This window comes from Homo sapiens, chromosome 5, assembly GCF_000001405.40.
Source record: "Homo sapiens chromosome 5, GRCh38.p14 Primary Assembly".
Taxonomy (NCBI): domain Eukaryota; kingdom Metazoa; phylum Chordata; class Mammalia; order Primates; family Hominidae; genus Homo; species Homo sapiens.
Genome location: NC_000005.10, coordinates 73839686 through 73852170, shown reverse-complemented (window position 1 = coordinate 73852170; position 12485 = coordinate 73839686). Strand labels below are relative to the sequence as shown.

At 36.4% G+C, this 12485-nt stretch overlaps 1 protein-coding gene across 5 annotated transcripts in view; it reads right to left on the bottom strand.

Moving 5' to 3' along the window:
- ARHGEF28 (Rho guanine nucleotide exchange factor 28) overlaps nucleotides 1-12485 on the bottom strand; it is a 315795-nt gene that overhangs the window by 89820 nt on the left and 213490 nt on the right. For all 5 annotated transcript variants that reach the window (NM_001080479.3, NM_001177693.2, NM_001388076.1 and 2 more), the window contains 3 exons: nucleotides 11411-11691; nucleotides 5696-5903; nucleotides 3084-3195 (listed from right to left, as the gene is read on the bottom strand). In NM_001080479.3, coding sequence (NP_001073948.2) covers nucleotides 3084-3195; nucleotides 5696-5903; nucleotides 11411-11691 — 601 coding nt within the window. The remainder of the gene's footprint in view (nucleotides 1-3083; nucleotides 3196-5695; nucleotides 5904-11410; nucleotides 11692-12485) is intronic.

Below are 12485 nucleotides of genomic sequence, written 5' to 3'. Positions count from 1 at the left end.
AAGTTCAGAGATGTGCTCTGTGGCTCATGGGAAAGGGAGGACCATTTTTTTCATTGGACTTGTGGAGGGGGCCAGAAGGGAGGTTCATGCAAGCAGCTTGGAGCCATCTTGTTTCCAGAGTTGAAATACTTACTACAGGGGTGGAGTAGAGACACTGATTTAGACAGTGAGAGAGCCTGAAGGAGGGGGCAGTCACTGTGGAGCACACCATCTACAGGGCAGGGACAAATCCTTCACTCTCACAATCCAGAACAGTGAAGAGGCATAACTAGGTTGCAAAGGGAAATGATACATAAGGAGGAAAACAAATACATATCCCCTGAAATGGGTAATATCAAATGTTGCACCTAATACTATCTTGTATGTAATAGGAAATCTACTTTGAAGAATTTGAAGCCTTTATTTTATAGCCATTATCAAGTGTTCCTCAAATTAAGTCATAGGCAGAACTCACTATTCTTATGGTAAATAGGCTGAAGTACCAAGAGAATAAGCCACCAACTGTTCAAAATCCAATTAAATTCCATCCATCAGCTCACAACGTTTTCAAAAGTATGTTTACGTCATTCCTCAAATTCTTAAATGCTGAACCCCTTTGTCCCCCTTGGTGAGACTGTAGTTATCATTTTAATATTGGCAATGTTCCTTTCTGCCTAAATCTATAATAGACCAAAGGGAATTATAAAACTGGATTTTGTTTTATGTATACAAACATCAAAAATAAAGTTGCCATCATCGTACTCTTGGCTCAAAAAAAAAAAAAAGACGCATGAGAAATTACAGTAAGTAACTCTTTGGAAGTGACAAGGAAGACAGAACATCACAAATAATAATAAAAAGGACCGAAAGCATCCTAGGTTTGTATATCTGCATTACAGCTCTCATATGGGAGCTTCCCTCTGGGACATAAGGAGACTTGGACTCTGTTCAAATAGACCTGAAAATTTTTAGGACTATTCAAAACTCATCAAGAAAGGATTTATGGCAACACAAACCTCAATTTACTTTTGATTAATCCAAGCCGACTAAACAATGAAACATTAGAATATATCTTTGCATTAGGCAAGCTTTCACATTTGTGCTTTGATTACATAAACACAGATAAAATTATTCCTTCTTCATTAGTGGTTAATTTATTTTTCATAGTCCTATGGTATTGACTGACCTAAATGGTATCAATCCAAATGTTTGCAGCCATATAAGTCTATCCACTGGAATTTTCATATATTTAGTGAGTAGACTCAACCTAAATTGCCTGGTTCTAACTGTTACCTTCTGGATAGTATCAAACTTCACTCAAGTAGCCTTGTCTTTAAATATACCGTCTAAAGATAAGGTTTCGTTTACTGAAAACCAAAGCAGTTGAGATCAGCTTTTTATTCTAACTCATATGCAAAGGTTTCAGGCTTGCATGTAAGGTAAAGACACCCTTCCTTGATCATTAAAGAATAAGTAAATTAGGGCTATTTTCCCTTGTGAACAATAAGTTTCCTCTTAATTGTGTGGTCAATAATTTCAAACTCTAGAGATATCTGACTTCATAGATCAAGGACCACAGATCTAAAGGCAAAGCCATAATTTGAAGCACAGAAAACTTAAACATGTTTTCCAAATAGTAACAATGTGAGGTTAATTCATCAGCTGGGACTATCAGTGAAAAGGTGTCGAGCTATTAAAAATACACCAACCTAAACTAAGGCTGGGGAGACCTGGAGACCTAGAAAGAACCCATGAAGTAAAAAACAAAAATCCAGAACAAATTCAATCCATCTTATTTATCCTGCCCTCTCAAGGTAGTTGTATCCTTTCTTTCTCTTGTAACTTTTCTTCATCTCCCCATCCAAAAATAAAAACTGACATGTATTATCAGTCTTGCTCTCTTCTCTTCTAACAGTACATCCCAGAAAAAGGAAAACAAAAATCATGGTAGCATTTCTTTTGTGTTTTATCTATCTTTTTCTCATACTCATTCAACAAATATTTATTGAACATCTAGCATATATGTCATTATTCTAGGATAGCTGTTTCAAGCACCAAGATTATGTTTTCAGTATTGTTCTGCATGGCATAAAAATGCAAAATAACAATTTAATAAGCAAGAATAAGAAAAAAGAGAGGGAATAAAATAAATCCTATTTTAAATATTTTATCTTAAGAAAATATTTGAGTAGTACTTCAGAGTACTTAAGTTCATCTCTTGCTTTCTGAATCTTTTAAGTCCCTTAAGGATAATAGACAATAAAGATATTCTCTAAGACATTGACAAAAATTTCATTATAATGCTATGTATTATGCATTGGCATGAATACTTTCAAATATGCTTTTTAATACAATTATTACATATTAATTACAGAAAGTATGAAATAATTACATTTCAAAATGGGGGCAGGTGAAAATGGGAGGAGTGGCTTAGAGAGGATACAAGGGGAGCTCTAAGTTGTACATAATTTTTCCATTTATAGATCTGAATTCACTTGAAAATTCAAGATGCATATTTATGATTTGCACTCCTTTTTGTATGTATCCTACATTTAAATTAAGTTTATTGCCTAAAAGTTATATTTCTAATTGCCTACATTGCCACCAAAAAAATGTTGAGATATATTTAATCATGTTACAAATATGTTATTTCAACTCTCCAAAGTCCCTTTCTAAACAAAGAAAGAAGAAAATCCATTCTGCAACACTCTGGCTCTGAGGAGTTGGATTATGTTAGCAATGTATATATGAGACAAAAGTAATTTTTATAATTTACTCAAATAAAATCCTCTAAGGCCCTCATAATAATATAACTGGAATCAATTCTAATTTACACTATCCTTGAGGAAAACATTTTATTCAAAGAATAAAGTAACAGAGAGGTGTGCATGTATTTGTAATTTCATCAAAATCAAATCTGATCAAAATCAAATTTGGCTGTTATCCAATAAGAAAAGAATTTTGTCAGGCTTAGAAAAACCAGTTATGAAAACAGAATGGAAAATTCTTGTCTGCTGTTCTTGAATATTTTATGTACTTATACTAACTGAAAAATCTGTTCTGGAATAGAGTGTTTTCAAAGCCAAATGTTAAATGATGCTTACCTTCACTTGAACTGCATACTGTTAATTCACGCACCAAACGAGTTTTTCCTAAAGAAATTTTGGGTGATGAGCAAGAATAAGAACGTGAGCGAACTCCAGAAAGCAGTGATTCCTAAAAGAGATTATAATAAAGTGTTTAAAAATTTATACATGGTCTGAAAATATATATTCACCACCTCAAATGTTACTAAATTTGCACCTTTGAAAAGAGATTCAACCTGAACATTTCTGATATGATCTCATTATGTGTTTCTGTTTTCCTCTCACAATTTTTAAAATGTTATTGCCATTTTAATACTTCAGCAACCTTCAGCTTGGGGAATAGTTCCTGTATATACTATAGAATGCAACTATGATATCCTAGCCAACTTGGCTAAAAATGAAAACTTAAGACAAATGACTTTTTCTTTGTATATTCAACAATGAGTTTATTATTTTTACCTGAGGTGTCAGTTATTTTGTTATTTTACTGTAGCCCTCTAACAAAATTCTATATTAACTGAGATTTCTATATTTAAGGATTACTAGAGGATAGTGGAATAGCCACTTACAATTATAAGAGATTTTTAGACTTCCAAACCATGATTTAAGTTTATAATGTTAGCTGCAACATTTAGGGAAAAATATATCCAGTTAATATACAAATCCTTCCAATCTGTACTCAATTTTTGATAGACCTTCCATCTAGCACTTTCTGGGGTGGATGTTTGGATATCACTAATTTATACATCCTTAATATTACTACTTTAAAATGACTTGCCGGTTTTGTTCCTGTTGTCCCAATTACTTATTATTCCTATTATTATATTGGCAACATACATGAAAATGCAAGATGGCAAGATCATTAAAACATAGTTTTCTTATGTTCCAGAAAATTTAAGTGAATATGCAATAGAACTCCACTGAAGCCATTTATAGTACCCAACTTCTATCCTATAAAGCCCTTAGGACTGATCCTGCCCATGCATTTTTAAGATATCACTTAAGGTTAAGGCTAAAAGAAAATAATGCAAAACTCTTTACTAAAATTAAACCATCAGAAACTGACCTTCAGGAGCACTGGTCTCTTTTGTTTCCTCTAAGGAAAAACACATGGTTACCCTAACTTCATTAGTTTAGTTAAGGAGCCTGGAGGAAAGTTGAAAAATGGAAGCCTAACCTTGCTTCAAAGGGCCCTTGGGCTTTGGCTCCTATCTTATTAGGGAGCACCTACCGGGCCTAGACGTCAAGAAGGCCAACCCAAGTTGTCCTATAACCCTAAACAGTGAGCTGGCCACTAAGGGCCCTCTTCAGAGTCATGTATACGTGGTAACCATTTGTCATGACAATAGAACTTTGAAAATTGTCCAAAACTTTGGCAAAAAGTTATACTGGTTAATTACAGAGGCAAGGCAGATATATTTATGGTTCAGATTCTTCCTAAAAATGAGCAACATGAAACTGTTTCAAGAGACTGGATTATTTTTCATCCAAGTAATGATGAACTTTTCACAGTTCCACTCAACATGCAAAACTAAGAAGTATCTACATAACAACCATACAAACTTCTCATTATCCAGAAATATCACATGACCTTCAGATGCAAAAGATTACGGCAGCTCTGCAGGTCTTAGAGCAGAGGGTAAAGGATACAGGATCTGTGCTCAAAAGACCCAGAATTGAGTTCTGAGTCTATCACCAAGCTGGTGACACAAAGCTGGACAGAACTCCAACCCTTCCAGAATCTCATCTACTCAAAAAATAAAATTAAATAAAAGCACTACTTATGTAATAGGTGAGTTATGAGGCAATTATATATTTTGTACATACATAAAACATATTTTGTATATTGTAGGGCATGCTACAAAAAGAAGGTATTATCATAACAACCATACGTTAGAAAGAGAAGTTTTGCCATAGCACACATTGTTTTATAGTAATAAGTAAACTTAAGAAGAAAACAAGTAGAAAATAACAAATCAAACAGGGAAAAAAAATCTGTTCAAACGCAAAAGGGCTTTCTTACATTCAGAGCAATGTATTTAGTTTTTTAATAAATAAATAAGTAAATAAATAACAAAAAAACAAGCACACCTAAATGAAACTCCAATGTGAAATAGCCAACAAGATAAAACCTGGCTCCTATGGAAAAGTTGACAAAATCTGTGATATTCCGGATTAGTTCAAGCAGCCAGAAATGCTCAATAAATATCACTTCTACCTTATTAACATCATTTACCTCATCATCAGGGCCATACAATTATTTACGTGAGCAAAACAAGTTTGATCACTTAAACTCATTTAATACTATCGGTTTTTCTCCCTTTGCTTAAGAGATGATGGGAGAAATCATTGTAAAATGATAAAATTTTCCAAGTATGTGAAAGAAAGATGGTATGTACTCATGGTGAATTAATGAAAATGTAAATCAGCCATTTTGAGTAAAGATTATAAAAATTAAAACAGAGTGGGAAAGATTAAAAAGACAGACTCAATCAGATATCACATGGGTCTCAAAAAAATAGTTCATATGTATGAATAAAATATAATATGTCTTTCAGATACAGATGGGTAAATGCAGACAACATATTCTCCACACTTGCAATATACCAAATTAATAGCAATAAGAATACCTTCGACTGTAGATTACTTGATAGAGGAAGGGATTCAGCCCTGGAGATATTAAAATCCGGTTCAGTGTTAGTCTCAAAAGAGTCCAATTCATCCCCACTAGGAATCCCAGTTCTTGAGGAGCTCTGAGACCCTGGAGTGTAACAGATGTGGGATGGCTCAGAATGCCCTTCCCCTTCACTGTCGGCGTCCAAGGCATCAAGGCTAGAACTAAAGCACAAAGCCAGCAAGTAAGTAAAGAAGCAAGGAAGGACACAGAGCGTCATTGGTTTCTACTTCTCTGAATCCAGATTCTTTCACTGGGGCGGGGGGGGTGCAATAGGTATTCATTTAATTTCCAACTAGTATTTAATTAGCCTTTTTCTCCTCCCTCCAAATCTCTTTTTAAACAAAATTTTATGTTACCCCGAATGAACATTCCTACCTAGCAAAAGCCATTTCTTTCTTTCATTTTCTTTCTTTCTTTCTTTTTTTTTTTTTTTTTTTTTTTTGAGACAGTTTTGTTCTTGTTGCCTAGGCTGGAGTGCAGTGACACAATCTTGGTTCACTACAACCTCTGTCTCCCAGGCTCAAACAATGCTCCCACCTCAGCCTTCAGAGTAGCTGGGACTACAGGCGTGCGCCACCACGCCCGGCCAATTTTTGTGATTTTTGTGTTTTTTGCCATGTTGCCCAGGCTGGTCTCAAACTCCTGGGCTCAATGGATCCACCCACCTCAGTCTCCCAAAGTGCTGGGATTGCTGGAGTGAGCCACCACGACTGGGGCAAAAGACATTTCAAATGCCTGAAGAAACAAAAGCTGGTTTGAGTTAGTACTAACCTCACCACTTCTGTTTTGTAAATATAATTATTGATATCGCAAGTCCCAAATGGTAACCCATCAAATATTTTAAATGCTGGTGGAAACAGAGTCACTGGGCTGTTTGCAGGGAAGCTTCTGGGGGGGATTTGCATGTGACTAAGCTGCAGAAGTGTCATTCTCTCCCCTGTCCCTCAGCTGGGAAGCTCGGGAGGGCAGAGGCACACCAAGGAGAGATGTGTGAAGGTCCCACCCATCCGCCCCAGGACCATGTCAAGACACAGTTCAGAAGTGAGTCGTGCAATGTCCCAAACATGTCATACTAAATGATCATTTTTAGAGGTTAAAAAAAGATGATTCTGAGGCTGGGCGCAGTGGCTCACGCCTGTAATCCCAACACTTTGGGAGGCCAAGGTGGGCGGATCATGAGGTCAGAGATCGAGACCATCCTGGCTAACACGGTGAAACTACATCTCTACTAAAAATACAAAAAATTAGCCGGCTGTTGTGGCAGGCACCTGTAATCCCAGCTACTTGGGATGCTAAGGCAGGAAAATGGCGTGAACCCAGGAGGCAGAGCTTGCAGTGAGCCAAGATCACACCACTGCACTCCAGCCTGGGCAAAAGAGCAAGACTCCGTCTCAAAAAAAAAAAAAAAAAAAAAAAATGATTCCTTTGAAAACTCTACCTTAGAACCAGGTAGTAATGCTGCTTGACAACAACTTTTTTCCTCATTTAACTTTAATAAACCATGAAATTAAAAGGAAAGAATTTGACCCTCTACATCCCAGGTCTATTCCATAACATTACGTTTTAAACGACTCAAACTTGGAGGCCAACAGCTTTCCTGGGTGCATGTTAATGCACGAAGCATTTCAAATGTGTGTTTTGTGGTTTTTTTTTTTTTTTTTGGTTGTTACAGTTCTGGAGTTATAATTTTAATAACAAAACAATGAAACTGTCTTGATTTTGAAATACAAGAACCAGAAAATGAAACTTTGAATTAACCTGTTTAGGTTATTTAAAAAAAAAAAAAAACATAGGCTTTTTTTTTTATTTTGAAATACAAGAACCAGAAAATGAAACTTTGAATTAACCTGTTTAGGTTATTTAAAAAAAAATAGGCTATTTAATGGACACAGTAAGTTAACTGAATACATGGTATGAGTCCTGGTCTTATTCTACTATGCCTCTAATGCAAACACAGATTAGTTTTTGAACTAATCTAATAATTACAGGTATTTCAAGTTGCTACGTGGTTTCCTAGTACAACAATCTGAGACGGAAGGAGATTTCAAGGCGGGCTGAAGCTTGCCCATGTCTTGTACCTCAGCACTTGTCTTTCAACTTGTGATCTCTGTACTAGTGGAAAATAGTTCTTCAAATGATTGGCAGCCCGCAATAATATCCGATTTTAACACAAGCCTTTCCAGTTACAGACAGCATTTCATCATCACTATGAATACATCCTAGAAGTATCAGTATTTTATTTTGCATACTATAAAACATTGTTTCTATTCATTCAAATGGGGCTACTACTTTTATTTAAGCTATTAACCTAAGATATTGGTGGCACAGGCAATATTCTTCAGGATAACCTCTAGGTTCTTGTTTTACGATATTATTTTTCTAATTCCCAGTAGTGGGATAAGAAATCAATTCATTAGGTTGTAACTAGAGTTTTTTAAAAAATATATAGAATAGAAAATATCAGAATATGTTGCACAAATCATTTTATAAGACTTCACTTAAATTTTATGGGAGATAGGGGACGTTCATGGTGTGACATGCATTTCTTGCTCTGTAGTTTTTTTAAAAGGTTTGAAAAATACAAGCTTTAGAATGAAACAAACACTTGTCTGCTGCTTAATTTTTTGCTGTATAGTATTTTTAAATTAATGTTTTTATTACTTATCTTCCCTTTGTGGCTTCTCAAAACAGTTATTACATTTAAATAATATAACATAATGGTTACATAGTATACATATTTTAGTTTCACCAAAATATTCTTTTAAACCCTAGAAAACTTAGGACTCAGGTCCCAGTCAGCTATGTCCTTATATTAACTCCAGTTTTTACTGTGTGCCCCCAAATTTCTCCTTCATTAGAGGTTTCCAGCCTCTAGGGCTATTATCTGCTTATTAACAAATTAAGTGCATTTCACTTTGAGTTTGTTATCAACTGTGCTTCCTACCATGACATCCACTGAAGGAAGGGACCCACAGCCACCCCAGGGCTTTCCAGGGATTGCGACTTCTCTCCCTTCATTCCTACATTTTTCAGAGGAGAGGGAGGGCAAAGGAGATGAAGTCAGCTCGTGGAACCAGCCAGAAAGCTTTTCTGTAGAATGGCTTCTCCTTCCTCTCCTGGCTTCCTCCCTTTCCCCTGAGCAGTGACATCTTCACAGAAGCTTCTAATTACCTGTACTCAAAACAGATATTTTGTCTAAATTATATTCTACAGAGGAAAAATTCTATCTGTAGCAGTGAAATGTTAAACTTTCCAAGACAAGACCATGATCAGAAAGTATAATTTCGATACTCTGCAAGTATCTGCATAAGTATCAATAAAACAGACAGACTATTTTGTGTCTTTTCCATGCTATATTCCTAGAAGACTTCTAAAGAACTTATTTATCTCTTGAGATCTGGGGGCTCACACACCTGACAGACTTTTTTTTTTTTTTTTTTTAAAGACAGAGTCTCACTCCGTCCCCCAGGCTGGAGTGCAGTAGTGCCATCTCTGCTCACTGAAATCTGTGCCTCCCGGATTCAGGCAATGAGCCTGCCTCAGCCCCTCCCCTGAGTAGATGGGATTAGAGATGTGTGCCACCATGCCCAGCTAATTTTTGTATTTTTACTAGAGCGGGAGTTTCACCGTGTTGGCCGCCTAGGCTGGTCTCAAACTCCTGACCTCAGGTGATCCACCTGCCTCGGCCTCCCAAAGTACGGGGATTGCAGGTGTGAGCCACCATACCTGGCCACTTGACAGATCTTAAAGATCCACTAGAATGCATTTATCACACATAGCTCAATTTATTTTTGCAAAACTGTATAGAATCTTGTGTGGACTGGCAGTCTCTTGTCCCAAGCAGACGTGTGGACAGTTCAAATTAGCCTATCACTTCAAATTATAGTAGTGACTACCCAGCATCTACAAAACCATAATTCACAAAGTATAAATCTAAAGCAAGTCTTTTATTATTTACACATCACACATAACCCTTGGTACCAATATGTGCTAAAGTTTTACAACCTCAAATTGCATGTTGTGGTGTATCTCAGTGATGGACACCTACTGATTGCTGGTTCCTCTACCTTTCTCTCCCCTCTATATTAACTCCCTGCTGAATACTCATTCACCTATGTGCATGTTCATTCACAGAGAAATATTTATATACATAGTCACATATGTGTGTGCATTTTATGTTCACTTTGATTCATTTTATACGTGAAAATGAACATATAATCACATGGGTAGGATATGGGGGAAAAAAAAGCTACTCCCTAAGGAAAGTGTGATCAACAGGATAAAATGAAATTAGTGGAAATTGGCCTGTTCCCAAAAGAAAATAGACAATCAGATAGACAGATACAGATATACAGATATGGACACACATGTGTGCACACACACTAATATATGTAATCATATCAGATGCAATGAAACTATCATTTCAATGAGTTTTTATATATGCAAGAAAATATAAGGTAACTGAAAGTAAAATAAATATAAGATAAATTTTATGTTAAAATATAAAATACAAACATATGTTAAATAAAACAAACACTCATGAGCCCACCCACCTTGAAACTTGGATACTGGCCATCTACCATGGAAACTCTGTTATGATTCATTCCATTCCCATTTCCCTATTTCCTTCCCTAGATGTAACAACTATTTTGAATTTAGGAATTTTTTCCCCTTCATTATTTTGTTTTTCTTTTTCTCTCTTTTTTTTTTTTTTTTCTTCTTTTTGAGACAGGTCTCACTCTGTCACCCAGGTTGGAGTTCAGTGGTGCCATCTTGGCTCACTGCAACTTCTGCCTCCCAGGTTCAAGCGATCCTCCCACCCCAACCTGCCAAGTATCAGGACCACATGTGCGTGCCACCATGCCCAGATAATTTTTGTATTTTTGGTAGAGATGGGGTTTTACCATGTTGCCCATGCTGGTCTTGAGCTCCTGAGTTCAAGCATTCTGCCTGCCTTGGCCTCCCAAAGTGCTGGAATTACAGGCGTGAGCCACCACGCCAGGCCTCTTGTTTTTCTTTATAGCTTATGCACATATGTAGGTGCCCTATAATAATATATTTTTTAATTTGCATTCTATAAAAATGAAATCTAACAAGTATTTTGGGGCTTTTTTTGTTCCTTCATGCTTCTAAGGTCTATGTTATTATGCATGCAGATGTAATTGTAGCTAATTCATTTTCATTACTGTACAGTATTCTATTGTGTAACTATATATAAGTTATTTATTCCACATTTGGGTTATTTCCTGCTGCTATAATAATACTCCATATAGGTCTCCTAGTACACGAGAGGAAAATGCATATTTGACTTTACAAGATAATGTCAAATTATTTTCCCAAGTTACACAATTTTCTCTCCTATCATCTTTATGCAGGAATTTCCATGTTATGCATTCTCACCAAAACATGGGATTGTTAGATTTTTTAATTTTTGCCAGTCAAGTGAGTATAAACTGGTATCTCATCGTGGTTTTCCTTTATCATATTTTAGTCAGTTTTCTTAAGTGTCTTACTTTCAAATCAGTGAATATAGGAACCTAAAAGGGGACATTTTGATGGGCAAATAAAAGTGGTAGAGACAATAAAAAGTTTAAAACTAGAATTTTTGAAGTCTACCTATAAGGTTCTTTGATGTTCTACAGTTTTCCTCTACAATATAGACTCTTACCTTCTTTTCTTTAGATGACTTTGTTCCTTTTCAAATCCATGCCAACCAAAAGAAAGATTCAAGTTGGAAGCACACGAACTTGATGGTGACATGAAGGACTGCTGGGCTTCAGTGTGTGCTGTCCCTTCGACATTTTCACTAAGTGGGTACACACTGGGACTGGTTTCTGTAGGAAGGGTGTGTTTGCTGCTCTGAGGCCACAGAGTGCAACCTCTGGATTCAGGGCTGGTAGTGGCAGTGATTCCCTCTATATTAATATAGCTGATATCCAAATCACCAACCTGGAAGTTGAAAGAAAAACATTTCCTGAGTAAAAGCAGGTAAGATTGGCCTAGCTAAGAATTAATAAAATTTTCCCAATTTAAAAACTTCTGGCCAGGCGTGGTAGGAGGCCGAGGCTGGCAGATCACTTGAGGTCAGGAGTTCAAGACTAGCCTGGCCAACATGGTGAAACCCCATCTCTACTAAAAATACAAAAATTAGCCAGGGTGTGGTGGCGGGCGCCTGTAATCCCAGCTACTCAGAGACTGAAGCAGGAGAATGGCCTGAATGGGAGGCAGACGTTGCAATGAGTAGCGATTGCGCCAGTGCACTCTAGCCTGGGTTACAGAGTGAGACTCTTGTTTTATGTAAACAGAGAATTATTTTATATGTTTTTGTTCACATGGCAGCTATCCTATAATTCACATAAAGGAAGACCAACTGAGTATTTTATAAGGTTGTTCCTTTATTACAAAACCAGAAGCTGATTATGCCTCTAACATTTTATGAACCACTGACTCAAAATGAGGGGGAAATGTTTTAAATACTTGAGGAGAAAACTAAAGACTATACAGCTTCATTCAAAAAGTAGCTCATAGGAATCTGGGTACCAAGGTAATAGTGGTCACATAAAGCTGAGTCTCACAAAAAGCAACACCAAACAAAAAGAACAAATAAAGCTACATAAAGTGCACGTACATAGCATCATTAGAAGAAAGAAAATGCCCAAATTTCAAATTACCTGTAAATAATAAAATCAACAGCAAATCCAGCAGGTAAGGCCTCGTGCTCCTGCTATAAGACTCTGCGGAGG